The sequence below is a fragment of the Homo sapiens genome, chromosome 4 (genome assembly GCF_000001405.40).
Source record: "Homo sapiens chromosome 4, GRCh38.p14 Primary Assembly".
NCBI classification, from domain to species: Eukaryota; Metazoa; Chordata; class Mammalia; order Primates; family Hominidae; genus Homo; species Homo sapiens.
The window spans coordinates 137,482,638-137,504,109 of record NC_000004.12 but is presented as its reverse complement, the minus strand read 5'-3'; the positions used below and the strand labels follow the sequence as shown (position 1 = coordinate 137,504,109).

General features: G+C 38.9%; 1 long non-coding RNA gene across 2 annotated transcripts, besides 1 other annotated feature; it reads right to left on the bottom strand.

The window, feature by feature from the left end:
* Positions 7,011 to 7,564: an enhancer, noted in NCBI's record as "OCT4-NANOG-H3K27ac-H3K4me1 hESC enhancer chr4:138417700-138418253 (GRCh37/hg19 assembly coordinates)". NCBI's record gives its function as "activates a minimal SCP1, AML or CMV promoter by ChIP-STARR-seq in naive and primed H9 embryonic stem cells {active_cell/tissue: H9 hESC(naive and primed)}" and the evidence as "EXISTENCE:reporter gene assay evidence [ECO:0000049][PMID:30033119]".
* Positions 17,108 to 20,582, bottom strand: LOC105377442 (uncharacterized). 2 transcript variants are annotated; one of them, XR_939223.3, is made up of 3 exons: positions 20,448 to 20,582; positions 20,199 to 20,343; positions 17,108 to 19,877 (listed from the first exon to the last, which is right to left on the bottom strand). It is a non-coding gene; the product is annotated as an uncharacterized LOC105377442 (long non-coding RNA). The 2 variants fall into 2 exon arrangements; XR_939224.3 differs by having other exon boundaries at positions 17,473 to 19,877; positions 20,199 to 20,330.
* Positions 20,583 to 21,472: the final 890 nt, after the last annotated feature.

Below are 21,472 nucleotides of genomic sequence, written 5' to 3'. Positions count from 1 at the left end.
TATCTCCATGATTAGTCAAAAATTGACTTTTATTTTTGTTTTTTATAACTTTTTGTTAATTTTTGGTGATATCCAAAAAAGAAGAAAACTTCTGTCTATATCACTATTTTTAAATTTCCAGTTTCCGTTTTCTTTAACATGTAATTCAACTTTATAGAAGTAATATAATCAATGAAAGTGACATTAACTTTTTGCATGCAAATTCATCTGCAACTGCATCTGTAATTTCTGTTCCCTTTTAGCAAGAATGAAGACAGAGCTCACCACCACTTTTCTGTAACATTTCCTCCTGGGTGTTTTGCCTTATTTTTTTTTTTTCTATAGTATTTTCAGATTCTCTATATGTCAAATCCATTATTAATACACTATCTTGTCTATTTCCTCTTAAATAACCCTCTCTTTATCTTGCATTACTTCAGTTATGACCTTCTCTCCCTCCTACACTCCATAACCAAATTTTTAAGACATTTTTTCATACTTATTAGCCATGTTTACACGCCCACTTATAAAAGATACATTCTGCCATTCATTTCCTTTTATTCATTTGTAGTCCAAATAGTTATTCTAATTAGAAATTTCACAGAACTTTATAAGAGATGAATAGGTTTTATTATTTTTAATTTTTGCTGTTTTCCAAATGAGACATGGACTAGAACAATTTGAAAAGCACTGACTTAACAAATATTGCTTGTCAGTCTTGTATTACTTGTTCTTTTTGAGAACATTACACATTACATAAGCAATAATATTTTGAGAAAAAATGACAAAATATGTATATTCCTATTTTTTGTGTTGAGAAGATGGGTAGAGCCTAATAAATGTAACTGTTGGAATGGGACAGAAAATGTCTGAAGACGATGAATTGTCTGCAGTAGAGAAAAAGGTAGTTAGCTGTTATTGTTAAAACCTTTGTCTCTTTGCTCCCATATTTTAAAGCTAACGTGTCTTAAAAATTTAAACTTTTCCTCAAGGTGAAATTTTGTCTTAATATTCTGAATCTCTGAAACATTGTGAAAAGATCACTACCCACTCATCTTTTTAAATTGAATTTTCAAAGAACACAAATCTCGAATTCGTTGTCTACCCAGCCCTGGGTCACCAGTTCTCTCAGTTTTGCACTTTTGCATTGCTATATTCACCAGTCAAATCATAGGCTCCACATTACCTATCCGAGAGTTTCTGTTTTCTGAGTGATCTTATTTTCTTCCGGCATAAATACCAAAGCAAAAATGTTGACTCTGTACACTGATGGTTATTTTTAGCTTTCTGTACTTAAAAAAAATAGTCACGTGTATGCCAAAGTAGCAAAACAAAACAAACAAAGAAAAAAGCACCAAACTTTCCTTTAGCTGGTTTGGTAATATATGTTTAATGTATTTTCTTGTCATTTGCAAGACCTACCATGGGAATCTTAGCATTTAAAAATTTTTTTTTCTCAGATAATGTATAAAAATGGCAAGAGGTTATTTCAGGGCAGATTTTTGGAAAGTATTTTGAAATAGCGTAAAGTTAACATTTCCTAAATAGTTATTTCAGAAACTAGACCATTAACCTTTAGAAAAGACAAAAAAAGTATATTGGAAATTTGCCTTAGTATTATTGGCTTCAGGCAGAATTTGGAATAAGAAGCATATTTCTTGGACAAACTTAAACCACTAACTACTATTTATGAGAAACTAATAAAACTTCATAATAAAACACTCTTACCTATAAGGTAACTCCATTCAATAGAATACATTAAAGAGTATTATCTAGAGTTATAAAATAAAATAGCATGAAAAATTAGAGATACGTATTTTTGAAGTTAAATCAGAATATTTCTTTTTTTTTTTATTATACTTTAAGTTTTAGGGTACATGTGCACATTGTGCAGGTTAGTTACATATGTATACATGTGCCATGCTGGTGCGCTGCACCCACTAACTCGTCATCTAGCATTAGGTATATCTCCCAAGGCTATCCCTCCCCCCTCCCCCCACCCCACCACAGTCCCCAGAGTGTGATATTCCCCTTCCTGTGTCCATGTGATCTCACTGTTCAATTCCCACCTATGAGTGAGAATATGCGGTGTTTGGTTTTTTGTTCTTGCGATAGTTTACTGAGAATGATGATTTCCAATTTCATCCATGTCCCTACAAAGGACATGAACTCATCATTTTTTATGGCTGCATAGTATTCCATGGTGTATATGTGCCACATTTTCTTAATCCAGTCTATCATTGTTGGACATTTGGGTTGGTTCCAAGTCTTTGCTATTGTGAATAATGCCGCAATAAACATACGTGTGCATGTGTCTTTATAGCAGCATGATTTATAGTCATTTGGGTATATACCCAGTAATGGGATGGCTGGGTCAAATGGTATTTCTAGTTCTAGATCCCTGAGGAATCCCACACTGACTTCCACAATGGTTGAACTAGTTTACAGTCCCACCAACAGTGTAAAAGTGTTCCTATTTCTCCACATCCTCTCCAGCACCTGTTGTTTCCTGACTTTTTAATGATTGCTATTCTAACTGGCGTGAAATGGTATCTCATAGTGGTTTTGATATGCATTTCTCTGATGGCCAGTGATGATGAGCATTTTTTCATGTGTCTTTTGGCTGCAGAAATGTCTTCTTTTGAGAAGTGGCTGTTCATGTCCTTCACCCACTTTTTGATGGGGTTGTTTGTTTTTTTCTTGTAAATTTGTTGGAGTTCATTGTAGATTCTGGATATTAGCCCTTGTCAGATGAGTAGGTTGTGAAAATTTTCTCCCATTTTGTAGGTTGCCTGTTCACTCTGATGGTAGTTTCTTTTGCTGTGCAGAAGCTCTTTAGTTTAATTAGATCCCATTTGTCAATTTTGTCTTTTGTTGCCATGGCTTTTGGTGTTTTGGACATGAAGTCCTTGCCCATGCCTATGTCCTGAATGGTAATGCCTAGGTTTTCTTCTAGGGTTTTTATGGTTTTAGGTCTAACGTTTAAATCTTTAATCCATCTTGAATTGATTTTTGTATAAGGTGTAAGGAAGGGATCCAGTTTCAGCTTTCTACATATGGCTAGCCAGTTTTCCCAGCACCATTTATTAAATAGGGAGTCCTTTCCCCATTTCTTGTTTTTCTCAGGTTTGTCAAAGATCAGACAGTTGTAGGTATGCAGCGTTATTTCTGAGGGCTCTGTTGTGTTCCATTGGTCTATATCTCTGTTTTGGTACCAGTACCATGCTGTTTTGGTTACTGTAGCCTTGTAGTATAGTTTGAAGTCAGGTATTGTGATGCCTCCAGCTTTGTTCTTTTGGCTTAGGATTGACTTGGCGATGCAGGCTCTTTTTTGGTTCCATATGAACTTTAAAGTAGTTTTTTCAATTCTGTGAAGAAAGTCATTGGTAGCCTGATGGGGATGGCATTGAATCTGTAAATTACCTTGGGCAGTATGGCCATTTTCACAATATTGATTCTTCCTACCCATGAGCATGGAATGTTCTTCCATTTGTTTGTATCCTCTTTTATTTCCTTGAGCAGTGGTTTGTAGTTCTCCTTGAAGAGGTCCTTCACATCCCTTGTAAGTTGGATTCCTAGGTATTTTATTCTCTTTGAAGCAATTGTGAATGGGAGTTCACTCATGATTTGGCTCTCTGTTTGTCTGTTGTTGGTGTATAAGAATGCTTGTGATTTTTGTACATTGATTTTATATCCTGAGACTTTGCTGAAGTTGCTTATCAGCTTAAGGAGATTTTGGGCTGAGACAATGGGGTTTTCTAGATATACAATCATGTCGTCTGCAAACAGGGACAATTTGACTTCCTCTTTTCCTAATTGAATACCCTTTATTTCCTTCTCCTGGCCAGAACTTCCAACACTATGTTGAATAGGAGTGGTGAGAGAGGGCATCCCTGTCTTGTGCCAGTTTTCAAAGGGAATGCTTCCAGTTTTTGCCCATTCAGTATGATATTGGCTGTGGGTTTGTCATAGATAGCTCTTATTATTTTGAAATACATCCCATCAATACCTAATTTATTGAGAGTTTTTAGCATGAAGGGTTGTTGAATTTTGTCAAAGGCTTTTTCTGCATCTATTGAGATAATCATGTGGTTTTTGTCTTTGTCTCTGTTTATATGCTGGATTACATTTATTGATTTGCGTATATTGAACCAGCCTTGCATCCCAGGGATGAAGCCCACTTGATCATGGTGGATAAGCTTTTTGACGTGCTGCTGGATTCGGTTTGCCAGTATTTTATTGAGGATTTTTGCATCAATGTTCATCAAGGATATTGGTCTAAAATTCTCTTTTTTTGTTGTGTCTCTTCCCGGCTTTGGTATCAGAATGATGCTGGCCTCATAAAATGAGTTAGGGAGGATTCCCTCTTTTTCTATTGATTGGAATAGTTTCAGAAGGAATGGTACCAGTTCCTCCTTGTACCTCTGGTAGAATTCGGCTGTGAATCCATCTGGTCCTGGACTCTTTTTGGTTGGTAAGCTATTGATTATTGCCACAATTTCAGCTCCTGTTATTGGTCTATTCAGAGATTCAACTTCTTCCTGGTTTAGTCTTGGGAGAGTATATGTGTCGAGGAATTTATCAATTTCTTCTAGATTTTCTAATTTATTTGTGTAGAGGTGTTTGTAGTATTCTCTGATGGTAGTTTGTATTTCTGTGGGATCGGTGGTGATATCCCCTTTATCATTTTTTATTGTGTCTATTTGATTCTTCTTTTTCTGTGTCTATTTTTTTCTTTGTTAGTCTTGCTAGCGGTCTATCAATTTTGTTGATCCTTTCAAAAAACCAGCTCCTGGATTCATTGATTTTTTGAAGGGTTTTTTGTGTCTCTATTTCCTTCAGTTCTGCTCTGATTTTAGTTATTTCTTGCCTTCTGCTAGCTTTTGAATGTGTTTGCTCTTGCTTTTCTAGTTCTTTTAATTGTGATGTTAGGGTGTCAATTTTGGATCTTTCCTGCTTTCTCTTGTGGGCATTTAGTGCTATAAATTTCCCTCTACACACTGCTTTGAATGCGTCCCAGAGATTCTGGTATGTTGTGTCTTTGTTCTCGTTGGTTTCAAAGAACATCTTTATTTCTGCCTTCATTTCGTTATGTACCCAGTAGTCATTCAGGAGCAGGTTGTTCAGCTTCCATGTAGTTGAGCGGCTTTGAGTGAGATTCTTAATCCTGAGTTCTAGTTTGATTGCACTGTGGTCTGAGAGATAGTTTGTTATAATTTCTGTTCTTTTACATTTGCTGAGGAGAGCTTTACTTCCAAGTATGTGGTCAATTTTGGAATAGGTGTGGTGTGGTGCTGAAAAAAATGTATATTCTGTTGATTTGGGGTGGAGAGTTCTGTAGATGTCTATTAGGTCCGCTTGGTGCAGAGCTGAGTTCAATTCCTGGGTATCCTTGTTAACTTTCTGTCTCGTTGATCTGTCTAATGTTGACAGTGGGGTGTTAAAGTCTCCCATTATTATTATATGGTAGTCTAAGTCTCTTTGTAGGTCACTCAGGACTTGCTTTATGAATCTGGGTGCTCCTGTATTGGGTGCATAGATATTTAGGATACTTAGCTCTTCTTGTTGAATTGATCCCTTTACCATTACGTAATGGCCTTCATTGTCTCTTTTGATCTTTGTTGGTTTAAAGTCTGTTTTATCAGAGACTAGGATTGCAATCCCTGCCTTTTTTTGTTTTCCATTTGCTTGGTAGATCTTCCTCCATACTTTTATTTTGAGCCTATGTGTGTCTCTGCACGTGAGATGGGTTTCCTGAATACAGCACACTGATGGGTCTTGACTCTTTATCCAATTTGCCAGTCTGTGTCTTTTAATTGGAGAATTTAGTCCATTTACATTTAAAGTTAATATTGTTATGTGTGAATTTGATCCTGTCATTATGATGTTAGCTGGTGATTTTGCTCGTTAGTTGATGCAGTTTCTTCCTAGTCTCGATGGTCTTTACATTTTGGCATGATTTTGCAGCTGCTGGTACTGGTTGTTCCTTTCCATGTTTAGCGCTTCCTTCAGGAGCTCTTTTAGGGGAGGTCTGGTGGTGACAAAATCTCTCAGCATTTGCTTGTCTGTAAAGTATTTTATTTCTCCTTCACTTATGAAGCTTAGCTTGGCTGGATATGAAATTCTGGGTTGAAAATTCTTTTCTTTAAGAATGCTGAATATTGGCCCCCACTCTCTTCTGGCTTGTAGGGTTTCTGCTGAGAGATCCGCTGTTAGTCTGATGGGCTTCCCTTTGAGGGTAACCCGACCTTTCTCTCTGGCTGCCCTTAACATTTTTTCCTTCATTTCAACTTTGGTGAATCTGACAATTATGTGTCTTGGAGTTGCTCTTCTCGAGGAGTATCTTTGTGGCGTTCTCTGTATTTCCTGAATCTGAACGTTGGCCTGCCTTGCTAGATTGGGGAAGTTCTCCTGGATAATATCCTGCAGTGTTTTCCAACTTGGTTCCATTCTCCCCATCACTTTCAGGTACACCAATCAGACGTAGATTTGGTCTTTTCACATAGTCCCATATTTCTTGGAGGCTTTGCTCATTTCTTTTTATTCTTTTTTCTCTAAACTTCCCTTCTCGCTTCATTTCATTCATTTCATCTTCCATTGCTGATACCCTTTCTTTCAGTTGATCACATCGGCTCCTGAGGCTTCTGCATTCTTCACGTAGTTCTCGAGCCTTGGTTTTCAGCTCCATCAGCTCCTTTAAGCACTTCTCTGTATTGGTTATTCTAGTTATACATTCTTCTAAATTTTTTTCAAAGTTTTCAACTTCTTTGCCTTTGGTTTGAATGTCCTCCCATAGCTCAGAGTAATTTGATCGTCTGAAGCCTTCTTCTCTCAGCTCGTCAAAGTCATTCTCCATCCAGCTTTGTTCTGTTGCTGGTGAGGAGCTGCGTTCCTTTGGAGGAGGAGAGGCGCTCTGATTTTTAGAGCTTCCAGTTTTTCTGTTCTGTTTTTTCCCCATCTTTGTGGTTTTATCTACTTTTGGTCTTTGATGATGGTGATGTACGGATGGGTTTTTGGTGTGGATGTCCTTTCTGTTTGTTAGTTTTCCTTCTAACAGACAGGACCCTCAGCTGCAGGTCTGTTGGAATACCCTGCCGTGTGAGGTGTCAGTGTGCCCCTGCTGGGGGGTGCCTCCCAGTTAGGCTGCTCAGGGGTCAGGGGTCAGGGACCCACTTGAAGAGGCAGTCTGCCGGTTCTCAGATCTCCAGCTGCGTGCTGGGAGAACCACTGCTCCCTTCAAAGCTGTCAGACAAGGACATTTAAATCTGCAGAGGTTACTGCTGTCTTTTTGTTTGTCTGTGCCCTGCCCCCAGAGGTGGAGCCTACAGAGGCAGGCAGGCCTCCTTGAGCTGTGGTGGGCTCCACCCAGTTCGAGCTTCCCGGCTGCTTTGTTTACCTAATCAAGCCTGGGCAATGGCGGGCGCCCCTCCCCCAGCCTCGCTGCTGCCTTGCAGTTTGATCTCAGACTGCTGTGCTAGCAATCAGCGAGATTCCGTGGGCGTAGGACCCTCCGAGCCAGGTGTGGGATATAGTCTCGTGGTGCGCCGTTTTTTAAGCCGGTCTGAAAAGCGTAATATTCGGGTGGGAGTGACCCGATTTTCCAGGTGCGTCCGTCACCCCTTTCTTTGACTCGGAAAGGGAACTCCCTGACCCCTTGCGCTTCCCAGGTGAGGCAATGCCTCGCCCTGCTTCGGCTCGTGCACCGTGCGCGCACCCACTGGCCTGCGCCCACTGTCTGGCACTCCCTAGTGAGATGAACCCGGTACCTCAGATGGAAATGCAGAAATCACCCGTCTTCTGCGTCGGTCACGCTGGGAGCTGTAGACCGGAGCTGTTCCTATTCGGCCATCTTCCAGAATATTTCTTCTAGAAAAAATTTATGGAATCTAATAAAAGGAATAGATTGTAAAGAGAAAGTGTAAATATATAGGTGATGAAGTAACAGTTTCATAGAAAAAACATAAAAATTTCTCAAATTATTCTATAAAAATTATGCAGAAAAAAATGAGTCATACAAAGCCTTCTAAACTAAATAAATGACCTATTTTTAAATTGAACTCAGACCTACATATATCAGTGTGAATGCCACAGCATTGCTACAATGATGTTAACAAATGGGTTGAAATGATAAGAGTTGCTGATAAGATAGGAGACATACTGGCTACCATTAGGAATCTGGGGTGTTGACTTAGAGTTAAGGATTGACTTGTCTAAGTGGGAATTGTCCTCTTACAGAAAACATGAAAATTAAGACCTATTTCATGGAAATCAGCTATAGAAGTAAGTGCTAAGAATCCATATTAGCAAAATGCTGAGGTGATGAATCAGGCTGAAGTCACTGGTACAGCACATCACGTTGCTACAAACTATGTTTGCAGGTGTGCACTCCAGCTCCTGATCAAGGCGGTGAAGGTGCTTATGTTCCCTCTAATATGAAGCTGTATAAGCCCACTGCCCAGAGGGTCTGGCTCCCTCTTCCAGAATCTAAAATCTTGTCCTACTCTTTGATTATGGGAAGCCTTAGAATGTGATGAGCAGAAAGAAAATCATGTAATTGCTGTCCCTGTCCCTTTATTTTCCCCAATAATACTGTTTCAGGTTCAGTGTTCCTATTTGCTGGTCAATCAGCCTTCTTTGCTTACCAGTCACTTTCGGAAAGAAAGGGAATGTGCTTTTAATGCTCAGTTACTCAGAAATTTTACCTATGATGCATATCTCATAAATGAAATGAGAATGTGTCCACACATTAAGATGTTGAAGCAGTTACTGGTTACTGTCATCTTTTCATTACTAGATTTTAAACTCCTAGAACAAAAAAAAATGCCTATTCATTGAACAAAGGTATTTATTTATTTTCACACTATGCCACCACAAAAATTATTGTGATAGACTCCAAGGCGGCTCCCAATTATCCCTGCTTTCTATTGTTAATGCTTTTATGTATTCATGCTTTTCCTTGAGTGTGGATGAGATCTGGGATTTATTCCTGTATTAGTCTCTTCTCACACTGCTAATAAAGACATACCCGAGACTGGGTAATTTATAAAGATAAAGAGATTTAATGGAATCACAGTTTCACATGGCTGAGGAGGCCTCACAGTCATGGTGGAAGGCAAAGGAGGGGCAAAAGCACATCTTACATGACAGCAGGCAAGAGAGCGTGTGCAGGGGAACTGCCCTTTTATGAAACTGTCAGATTTCATGAGATTTATTCACTATCATGGAAATGGCGTGGGAAAAACCCACCCCCATAATTCAATTACCTCCCATCAGGTACCTCCCATGACATGTGAGGAATATAGGAGCTACAATTCAGGATGAGATTTGGGTGGGGACACAGCCAAACCATATCAGTTCCTGACTCATAGAGTATGATAAAGATGATGGGGGTGTTACTTTTGTGATTATATTACCAAAGATTGCAACCTCTGTCTCGCTAGTAGACACTTCATATTGGCTTTTTCTGGCTTTGATGAAGTAAGCCGCCATATAGAGAAACTTAAGTGATGAGGAATTGAAGGAACCATCAGGTGGCAGCCAGAAAGGAGCTGATATCCTCAGTTGGATAAGACATACTTACTGAATCCCACCAAAGCCATTTAAGCCTGGAAATGGGCCCTTCCTCACTTGAGCCTCAGCTGAGGCCCCCAGCTTTGTCGGCACTGATTTCAGCTTTGTGAGAGAAGCTGAAGCAGAGGACACAGGCAAGCCAAGCCTGGATTCCAGACCCACAAATAATGCAATATTTTGTTATGCAGCAATAGATAACTAATGCAGCTATACACATTTAGTCATACTTAGCTCCACGGATCGTGTTTTGTTTGATAAATTGGCTGCATTATATTCATACCAACTTTTTAACGTATTGGATGCAAATCAATAGTCAAATGAGAATATTTGTTATTTAACGAGGTCCCGTAAGGAGAGTGTTCCATTCATTTAAACCTAGCAAAGAGCAAAGAACAGCCCTTTGTTAGAACATCAACAATGAATTTTCCAATATTAGTACTGAGCCTAGTTCTTCCTATTTTTCTATAGGAACAATTAGAAATAAATGAAGATAACTGTGTCTTCCTTCTTAATATTCTATAATTAGTCACTCTCAATTTGAACTTACATTGGCACTTAAAAATATTATCCCCATTAAAATAAGTAAGTGCATAAAGCACATGTGGAGACGCCCTTCTCCTTTGCCCAAGTGGGCAGACTCAAAAGGTAAAAAGCAAAAGTCATTGGTTCTGCTTGCACATAGATGATGTAGAGACAATTAATTTCTTCTTGGTGGAAAACAGTAGGAAGGTAAAAAGCAAAAGTTGGCGGGGGGCAGTGGCCCACTCCAGTAATCCCAGCATTTTGGGAGGCTGAGGCAGGTGGATCACCTGAGATCAGGAGTTCGAGACCAGCCTGGCCAACAAGGCGAAAAACCATCCCTACTAAAAATACAAAAAAATTAGCTGGGCTTGGTGGTGCATGCCTGTAATCCTAGGTACTCTGGAGACCGAAGCAGGAGAATCGCTTGAACCCAGGAGATGCAGGTTGCAGTGAGCCGAGATCATGCCACTGCACTCCAGCCTGGGCAATACAGCAAGACTCTGTCTCAAAAAAAAAAAAACAACAATGAAAAAAAGCAAAGGTTGAACTAATGATAGTCAGTGGAACTATATATACATAGTTCAAACCAGAAAAAGAATAAACAATGTTGGTTGCATCTAGTTTACAGAAACATGAGTTTCTTCTTTTCCTTGCCCATTCATCTATCTGTATTATTCTTTACCACTACTTGAAATTAAAGATACATCACATAACTAAATAACTTTAGCTTTGTGTAGTGGCAGTATCATAGCCAATAAGGCTTTATCTAAGGCATAACTATTGCTAATTAAATAATTTTGAATAAAGAATAAAAGAACAGATCTATTTCTCTATGTATCTATATGGTCACAAAGTATGTTTCTGTTCTGGTGGGGCAAAATACTTTGCTTTCTGGAAGTCTCATTCAATATTTACACTTTGCTTCTTGATTTTTTTTCCTACAAGTCTGATGCTTTGACTATTTTATTTTTTGTCCCAAAAATTATTAAGACTCAACTAAGGGGACCATATTCAGGCTCATACCAGGTCCCTTAAGATTACTTGTGCCATTTCTGCGTGTCTCTTTCCTGGTTTTAGTATGTCAGTCTCTCTCCAAAACTTTCCTTGCATTGTTGGAATTGTGTTGCTCAAATTTAGAGAGAAGAAGAAGTGCCTGTGAGGTTGCGCTGGTGAAGAGGATTGACTGATACAGTAATGCAAAACCCCAGCTCCGTTGCTTCTCACAAAGATACATTTTAGATGCAATGTATTCATGGAGCAACCCACCACGATCAAGCTGAGGGTGAGACTTTGCCTGAAACTTGTATCACTGCTGGGCTTCTGCTGCTTCCATTTCTGCTTCTTACTCTCCCTTTGTGGTTTTTCCTGGGACTATTTCTTCAATATATTACTTGCATGTGGATAACTCTCTCAGGCTGTGCTTCTGGAAAACTTGACCTAAGACACAAATCATAACTACAACACTCTACTTTGAAAGAGCTTGTCCCATGTCTCTAGATTTATGTTTGTACTGTTGTAAGATTTAAAAAAGAAAGAAAGAAACTGTACTTCTACCAAATTAGAATGTACATTCCAAAAAAGTGGGTCCTTTGTCACTATATTATAGGAGGCTACCACAAGACCTGATTCATAGGAGATGCTAAATGAATATTTTTTGAATGAAAGTCTATGCCTAATAAAAACTTTACTAGTCAAAAAAGTAAACTGATATGATTAAAAGACAAACTAATATTTAATATGAAAAAACGTCATGCTGAAATATGCCCTTATGTTAATTATCTAATGCATGGTGACATATATGCATATGTTAATTAATTATTTAATAGAAATTACCCAAAACTTAAATTAAAAAACAATGACTAAAAACAATGATTGTTGTTACTTCTTATGACTCTGTAGCAAAGGAACTTAGGACACAGCAGGGATCACTTGCCTGTCTGGAACTTCAATGAGAAAACTCAAAGATAGGAGCTGGAATTGTCTAAAGGCCCACTCACATGTTTGAGAGCTGATGTGGCCTGTCAACTGAAACCACCACATGTAGACTGTAGATGTAGCTAGGACTTCATCAAAACATGGTACCTGCATTCCAAGTACAAATATCTCAAGAAAGAGAGAAACAGAAACACACGCAGACACTGCAGGTAGAAGCCATATTGGCTTTTGGAATTTATCCTCAAAAATTACACGGTGTCACTTCTGCCACATTGATTGAGACAGCTATGAGGTCCACCCAGGCTTAGGGGAGGTAACAGAGATGTCATCCCTTGATGGGACATGTTAATGTCACATTGTACTTTTGAGGGTATGAAATAAGATACATATTGGTACAGCCATTTTGGGAAGAAAAATCTGCCACATTGTCTCTAACAATAAAAAGTAAATTATTTATTTATTTATTTAGTAAATGCAAGGAGAAAGATTACTGGCTTGGAAATTAGGCAAGAGATTGGCTTTCTTCTTTAGAATTCCTAATTTACTCTGTAAATTCTATTAATTTAGAGCTTTGTTTTTGTAAAATTTTCTTTCTCTTTGTAAGATGAAATGAACTCTCTAACTCTGTTTCCTAATATATTTCAGTATTATCTTTAGTTGAAATGTAGCAGCTAATTCTCGATGTAAAATTTAATAAAGATATTGTAGTCTCAAACTTTCTAAGGATTTTGTAAATGTGAGTGAAACATTTTCTTAAAGAGGAATAACATATTTTTCGTATATAATCTGGGTTAAATCACAAGAAAGGCTACAAAATATAGACGGTAATTTATCAGTAGGGTTCTGAAGTCACCTTGTCTTCATTGAAACCCCAGCTCCTTCACTTATTATCTGTTTAAATTGGAAATATTGCATTTCTGTGTCTTTGTTTTCTCATCTATAAAATTGGCACAATAATACCAAATTTGTGGAGTTTCTGTGAGGAGTAAATGAGTTAAAAAAGAGTGGCTGGCACATATAATGAAATTAAATATACATTAACTGATAGTTATTGTTTTTAAATAATTCACTTGAGTGTACACCACTGTATTAGAAAACACAGGCAGGTAGCCATTAAAAAGGAAAACATACCATGACCATTAAATTCATAAATAACACAGTATAAGAGCCTAAGTAGTGATAGTAGTTGAATTGGGTTGATTTTTGCTGTTTCCCCCAAAATATATGCCCATGTCCTAACCCCTGGAACCTGTGAATGTGACCCCATTTTGCAGATTTAATGAAGTTAAGGATCTTGGCATGCGATCACCCTGGAGTATTTGGGTGGGTTCCAAATCTGATGAGAAGTATCTTTGTAGGAGATGGAAGAGAAGACAAAGAGAAGACGGAGAGAAAAAAAGATGAGAAGGTCATGTGAAGACAAAGGCAGAGACTGGAGTTAGGCAGCTACAAGCTAAAGAATGCCTGGAGCTACCAGAACCCAGAAGAGACAAGGAAAATATTCTCCCCATAGGTTTTAGAGAGAGCACAGCTTTGCTGACACCTTGATTCTGCACTTCTGGTCTTAAAAAGTGTAATAGAATAAATTTCTGTTGTTTTAAGACACCAAGTTTGTAGCAATTGTTACAGCAGCCCTAGGAAACTAATACAGTGGAAGATCTGGTAATTCTACCCTTCAGTATACAAGGGCATATGACACTTTGTCCTCTGTTTTCTTGCCCTCAGTAAAAGTGATGACTGGCAACAGCTAACATTCAATTTCACAGACTGGTAGCTGAATCTGCTAAGCGTTTTTGATTAAACTGCTATGTGTGGCTATCTTTGGACCCAATTTAAAAACTAGAACTTGGGATATTTGTTTTGCCTACAACACAGCTTCTAAACTGTTCTTGGTTCAGTAATTCAACAATAATGGGCAGTGAGGCGGCATATGGCAGTGAGGGTGCAGGTTGCTTTGAATGTGATATACCTAAGACTTTTTAATACCCCTAAAAGAAATGCTGCTTTTGTTAAAAGGTTTTTATTTGCCTTAAGAGAGTCAAACATTTGTGAATATGTTTATAAACTGTTCTTGATCATTCTGTCCTTCGTGAAAGGTAATGTGACATTTTAATTTGAAATTAGCTATTAATTTTACTAGAAACTGTTCTGCAGAAACTGAGTTGAATGGATGTTATAGATCAGATTTTTTAACTCATCATCATTTATATTAATATTTTTAATACATGAATATTACCCTCTGAGTATCCAAATATAGAAGAAAAAATCGATGTATGTCTCTTCCATACACACACAACTTGTAGTTGAATTTACCTGGATGCATTATTTACAGAGGTTATTTGTAGAATTAGGAACTTTGTTTCCTACGGTCCTGATCAATTTACCTTTACATAAAAATCCAGTTAGAAAGCCAAACTGACTGCAGAAAGCCTATCTGTAAAAATGAATGCTGAAACATTACAGTAGTTCCCTTATGTTAGCTTCATTAGATCTTAAAAGCAACTCTGGAAGAGGCTCTGGAAGAGCAAATTTTCAAATCTAATGTCTAACCAACCTTAATTATGGAAAGTGTCTATATGTAAACCATTAAAATCATTCTAAATCATATTTTAAAAAAAATGTGCTGTCTTAAATTCCTTAGAGTTTCTTTCAATTTATTATTATAAATTGTGAACTAATGCTTGACTTCTTCACTGTATATCTATATTTTTGTGCTAATAAACAAAAGAGAGAGTAGAAATGTTTTCTGTAATAATTACAGCAAAAAACATTTTATGTGTTCAATAAATATTTGTTAAATAAATCAGAAAGAGTAATTCACATAGTTATATCCATGGGGCACTTCAAACTAATTTAACATAAATATGTGAATAAGAATTTTAATTTTTGGTTTACAATAAGAGGTAACCAGGAATGTTGATACAATTTTTTTAAATACAGAATGTCATATTTTAAAATTGTAACAATGTCACCTAAAAGTAAGTACTTTTTTAGATGGTATGGATAGGCTTTTGTAGTTTTTTTTCCATCTTTCCATTTGTATCCATATTTTACATTTTCTATAATTATTTTCATTAATGAATTTTTAATAGGGATTAATTCTGCAATTCAGTTAGATTGGACATTAAAACAATATAAAACTAAAAAATAAAAATTTAGGAGGATAAACCTTTTTTCATAATATTAACTGAAGATTTATGTTAATATCTTAGGCTTTTCAAATTAATATACTCTCACTTTGTCTTTAATCAAAGGATTCACTTCCTTTAAAACCATTGTCATAGTTCTGACTTAGGAACATTATTAGAAAAATACCAGTTTTTAGGACCTGGGCGTGGTTGCTCACGCCTGTAATCCCAGTACTTTGGGAGGCTGAGGTAGAAGGATTGCTTGCAACCAGAAATTAGGGACTGCAGTGAGCTATGATCGTGCCACTGCACTCCAGCCTGCGTGACAGAGCAAGACCCTGTCTCTTAAAAAGACAAAAAATAAATAAATAAATAAAAGGAAAAAAAGAAAAAGAATATTCATTTTTTAGCATTAGATTTTTTTTAAACAGAGCTCAGGTTAACACTTTTAAAGTGAGGCCAGGCACAGTGGCTTATGCCTGTAATCCCAGCACTTTGAGAGGCCAAGGTGGGTGGATCACCTGAGGTCAGGAGTTCAAGATGAGCCTGGCTAATATGGTGAAATCGCATCTCTACTAAAAGTACAAAAATGTGCTGGGTGTGGTGGCGGGCACCTGTAATCCCAGCTAGTGGGGAGGCTGAGGCAGGAGAATTGCTTGAACCTGGGAGGCGGAGGTTGCAGTGAGCTGAGATTGCACCACTGCACTCAAGCCTGGGCGACAGAACGAGATTCTGTCTCAAAAGACAAAAACAAAACAAAAGCAAAACAAAACAACACAAGAACAAAAACTTAAAATGGTAGAAGTTCATATTGGGTAATTTTGTATTTTGTAACACAATCTCAGAAATAATTCATACGTAAGAATAGATGATGCTTGGAGATATAATTATTTGGAGAACATGGACACTAAAATTAGCTAAGAATTCATAGTCTTAACCAAAATAATGTTCATGTGTTAAACTTGCAAATACTATAAAGTGTTTTTTAACAGAGCATAATCTCTTAGGATAATGAAAAATTTTGGAGATGGATGGTGGTGATGGTTGTAGAACAATGTGAATGTACTTAATGCCAACAAATTGTACACTTAAAAATAGTTAAAATAGTAATCATTATGTACATATTATCACAGTCAAAAAAGAAGATTATATCTCTGTCTGCTTTATCACTATTAATAATAGATGTGGTCTCTTCTCACTGTACCACTATTAGACTGCCCCCATGAATGTTACAATGTGTTAACACATAATGAGTGGATTAAGAGCAGAGTTTTATAAAATTACTTCAATTAGCTTTTTTTTATTTTTGAAACATATACTCTCTGAAAATCTGATGCAATTTATGGATCACATTCTCAGAAAAATGCACAAGTTCATAAACTCTTAATATTCAAATTCAGCATTCAATTTTGATTAGTATACCATTTCAATAGAGGGCCTTTAATATTTATCCGTGAATGTTTAAGTTAAGAAGCCTTTCCAAAGTAGACAAAATATGTCTAGGCCAGTAAAGCATGATGGCTGTATGATTGCATAGGCTGTACTTACAACCCTAAACATTATTATGTCAATTAAAGGGGGTTAATCAATGTTAGATTGTAATGAAAGTTGCATCATCTAGAAAAACACTGACACCAAGATAAATTTCTCTAACTCAGGAACTCCACCTCTCTCTTGTGGTGATGGATGTATGGGGTATTCCTAATCTGATGCTGCAAAACTGCATTAATGTAAGCAATTAATACATTTACTTTTGCTTGGGGACCTACATTCAACAACAAATTTTTGGCTTAGAGAAAATTCCTCACACAGATTGTCTGTGTGGCACTAATGTACTAGCCAGATGATATGGCCAATTTTACTCCCTTGGAAGTTTATAGTTCTAAACGTCCATATATAAGTCTTATCCTGACAATTCTTGCCAGTTCCTTTGTAGCAGGACAAGCTGCAGACAAAACCCCTCAGACACCAAGTTAAAGAAGGAAGGGCTTTATTCAGCCGGGAGCTTCAGCATAACTCATGTCTCCAACAACCAAGCTCCCCGAGTGAGCAATTCCTGTCCCTTTAAAGGGCTCACAACTCTAAGGGGGTCAGCATGAGAGGGTCGTGATCGATTGAGCAAGCAGGGGGTACGTGACTGGGGGCTGCATGCACTGGTAATTAGAATGGAACAGAACAGGACAGGGATCTTCACAGTGCTTTTCTATACAATGTCCGTAATCTATAGATAACATAACCAATTAGGTCAGGGGTCGATCTTTAACTACCAGGCCCAGGGTGTGGTGCTGGGCTGTCTGCTTGTGGTTTTCATTTCTGCCTTTTAGTTTTTACTTCTTCTTTCTTTGGAGGCAGAAATTGGGCATAAAACAATATGAGGGGTGGTCTCCTCCCTTATTCCCCAGCTTTGAGAATCTCACTCAATAGTGGGATTTCTCACTTTCATTCTCACTACCCATGTCTTCTTGCAAGACAGATGGATAGTGATTCATATAGTACCCTTGTGCTGAAGCATTTTGGTGAACTAAGGTAGTGATGAAGCTTTTTATCATTTGAAGTACAGGTAGCAAACAAGGGAGCAGTAAGCAGGTTCCTATTACTATTATAACTCCTATTATAAGAGTTTTAAATCCTCCTAGTGCTGGGAATCATTTTCCGAACACGGCCCCAGGATCAAATCCATGCCACACTTGCACAGGCACGTGTGCCAGTTTTGTCATATCTCTAACTATGTCTTCAACGACTTGCCCTTGATCATCTATGTGTAGACAGCAATTAATAAGGTTAAATTTCCCACAGATCTCTTCTTCAGCTGCTAGCAAGTAGTCGAGAGCCAATCTATTTTGATAGATAGCATTTCTCATCTGAGTTTCTTGCCGGGCCAGAATAGTCAAGGCTCTGCTGGTTTTATTAGTGATTATTTCTGAGACAGCTTGTAACCGTATGATTTGGTTGGTCATGTAAATGGGAGTCCGGTATCCCCACAAGCCATCTTGTACCCAAGTAGCAGGCTCATAATATTGTATGATTCTCTCAGGGGGCCATTCATCGTCTTTCCAATTTCCTATAGCTATGCTTTCTTTTTGCGGGAAGCATAGACAGGGAAGCCCAGGAGTTCGCCTGTTTTTATGGGCAGTAGGAAGAAAGATGGTTTAATAGTGCCAATAACACAACTACCTGCCCACCAGTCAGGTAATTTTGTGTAAGCTCTATGCCCACATATCCACTATAATCCAGTGGGGGCTGACCAATACTGGTGGGACTCCGGGTGGGTCCACACGGTTTGCAACTTTGGGAATTTACTAAATGGATTCCTCTCTGTGTGATTTGAACTCCACCAAGTGACTGTTTTTGTGGTACCATTATACAGTTTCTGTCCCAGACAACTAAGTCATCCTACAGGGTGAGTGAATTCTTTTCCTTCTCTAGCTATGCAATATTGTCCAATAATTGAGGCTTTTAGGACCCAGAAATTATCAGGGTGATTCCTTTGAGCCGGGAATTCATCAGGAACTGGGCCTATAGATAATAGTTCTTGGGCTTCCCATGGACGTTGATCTCCCATTACAGTTCCTCCACATACGTAACATGAAGTGACATTGAGAGACTGGGCTACACGCTCAGCTAATTGCAAAAACAAATTTCTTGTTTTTCCTGGAATTTCTGGTACTGGCACATTTAGTTCATCATAGAAAGTTTGAAACACTGGCTCAGGAGAGTGTTTATAAACTTCTCCTCGAATCAAGATATTTACTTGAGGATCCAGTCCGGCCCCTTCGATTCCTAAGGTCACACGCTCCCCTTTTCTCCAGCAAGGATCAAGGGGATTGGTTATTACTAGCTCTAAGGGGTTACATTGTTCCTTAGTACAGGAAGGGCCATTTTTTCCTTTCTGAAGGTGGACTGGATCCTTTTCATTTTTTATCCAAGTGGCCTAAGTGACACAAGACCAGTATCCACATTCATTTCCACACAGTCCTAATTCATGACAAATGTACTTATTTTCAGTCATATAGCCTTTTTCCCAACTAAAAGAGCCACATCCCCTTCCTAACTTATTGCTATTAATGGCAGCACAGGCATCAAATTTCAAGATTATGCGTTTAGGCACCCGTTTTTCTTCTGTTCTGGCTAATACTTTACTTGTCTCATTTATGAGTCCCCACCAGTCTTCTGTCCTTAATCTTATTTCAAAAACTGTGGACATGGGAGGCTCAGAGGGGTCATAACACACATCTGGTTTGTCGTTTCCAGGGCTACATACCTTGCACTGAGTGTCATTATATAAACATGTTCCTTTAAAGTTCCTAGGCATTCATAGTAACTATAGAACAGAAAGACTGTTTTAACTTGTTGCCCTACCTCGGTAACCTGATGTATACACTGAGAGCAGTCCTCCATGTGGGGAAAATCAGTGGAATTTTTTACTATACAAGTCCAAATTATAAGGAAAATGAGGTCCACAGTGATTCTCCTCATGCTTCGGCTGTGCGTAGACCAGTCAGCTTCCGGGTGTGACTGGAGCAGGGCTTGTCGTCCTCCTCAGAGTCACCTTGCAAGGGTTGTCTGTGCTCAGTTTTGCCTCCCAGGTTTCAGCGGCTGCAGGTTTCACACGGCTGTGATGGATTCAGGCTGGGATTTCTTCTACCTTTACAGCCGTGGGGGTGTTCAGGATGACGGTCTGAGGTCCTTTCCACCGTGGCCGCAAAGGGGCTACATTCCAGTCCTTGATCCACACATGATCACCTGGAGAGAAAGGGTGAACTGGGTAGAATAAGCTGATGGGACACCTCCCATTTACCCAAGTTGAGATTGTATAATTTTTCCTAAAGCCTGTAGCTGTCGCTGTAATTCAATTTCACCTAACTCTCGGGGAATGCCTGGAAGCTCCCGCAGTATAGGAGGAGGCCTATGATACAGTATTTCATAAGGGGAGTATCCTGTTTTCTTAGAAGGAGTGCATCTAATTTTAAACAATACCATAGGAAGGGCCTGTATCCACTTTAATCCTGTTTCCTGTCATAGTTTCCCTGAACTATTTTTGATAGTCCGATTCATTCGCTCCACCTTTCCGGAACTCTGAGGTCAGTAGGTGACATTTAGCTTCCAAGTGATTCCTAATGCCTTTGCTTCTTCTGTACCAAGTCAGCCACAAACTCCGGCCTGTTATCTGAGTCAATTCGTAAGGACAGTCCAAACCTAGGAGTAAGATCTCAGAGAAGCACACGGTTACCTCATAGGTCTTTTCAGTTCATGTTAGATAAGCCTCCACCCACCCAGAATAAGTACACACAAGAACCAGCAAATACTTGTTACCTCCACATTTCGGCATTTCTGTGAAATCCACCTGAAGATCCTCAAAAGGAGCCACTCCATAAGCTTATATGCCGGGCAGAACAGTGGGGCCTTGCCTCACATTGTGCTGTCAGCAAGTAATGCACCGTTGTGCTACTGCTTTGGCAAGGGCTGGCAAGTGTGAGATGTAGAAGTACCGGCCTAACAATTTTTCAAGTGACTCTTGACCTAGATGAGTGGTTTCGTGCATGGCCAGTATGATTGTGGCTCCCAGCAACTGTGGCACACCTACCCTCCCATCTGGCAGTCTGACCCATCCTCCTTTTATTACCTGCCCCCCTTCTGCATGGAAGAAGTCTTTTTCTTCCTTAGAATAGGTAGGTACCAGGTCAGGTGTTTGAGGGAGTAAGGGGGCTGCTACAGATGCCTGGTAAAGGGTAGATGCTGCTTTTTGAGCTTCTGAATCAGCTTGAGAGTTTCCTAAGGCCACTGAGGTGGAGGCTCGCTGGTGTACCCTGCAGTGCATGACTGTCACCTTCTGAGGTTCCACACTGCCTCTAATAATTGTAAAATTTCTTGTTGATATTTTATGTCCTTTCCCCCAGAGTTTAACAGGCCCTTTTCCTTATATAATGCTCCATGCACTTGGAGGGTTAGAAAGGCATATCGAGAGTCAGTGTAGATGTTTACAGTCTTACCTTCACTGAGTTCTAGAGCCCGAGTTAAAGCAACGAGCTCAGCCTTCTGGGCTGAATTGCCCTGTGGCAACGGTTTGGCTTCAATGACAGCATCCAAAGTTACCACCACACATCCTGCACATCTTTCTCCTTGTGGGTTGATGAAGCTGCTCCCATCCATGTATAACTCTCAGTCTACTGATGCCCACGGCTAGTCCTGAAGGTCAGGTCTGCTAGAATAGACTGAGTCCAACACCTGTACACAGTTATGCTCGACGGGGGTCTCTGATACTGGTAGCAGGGTGGCGGGATTTAGGGTGTTACAGACTTCAATAGTTAGGCGGGGATTTTCACATAGCAAGCTTTGGT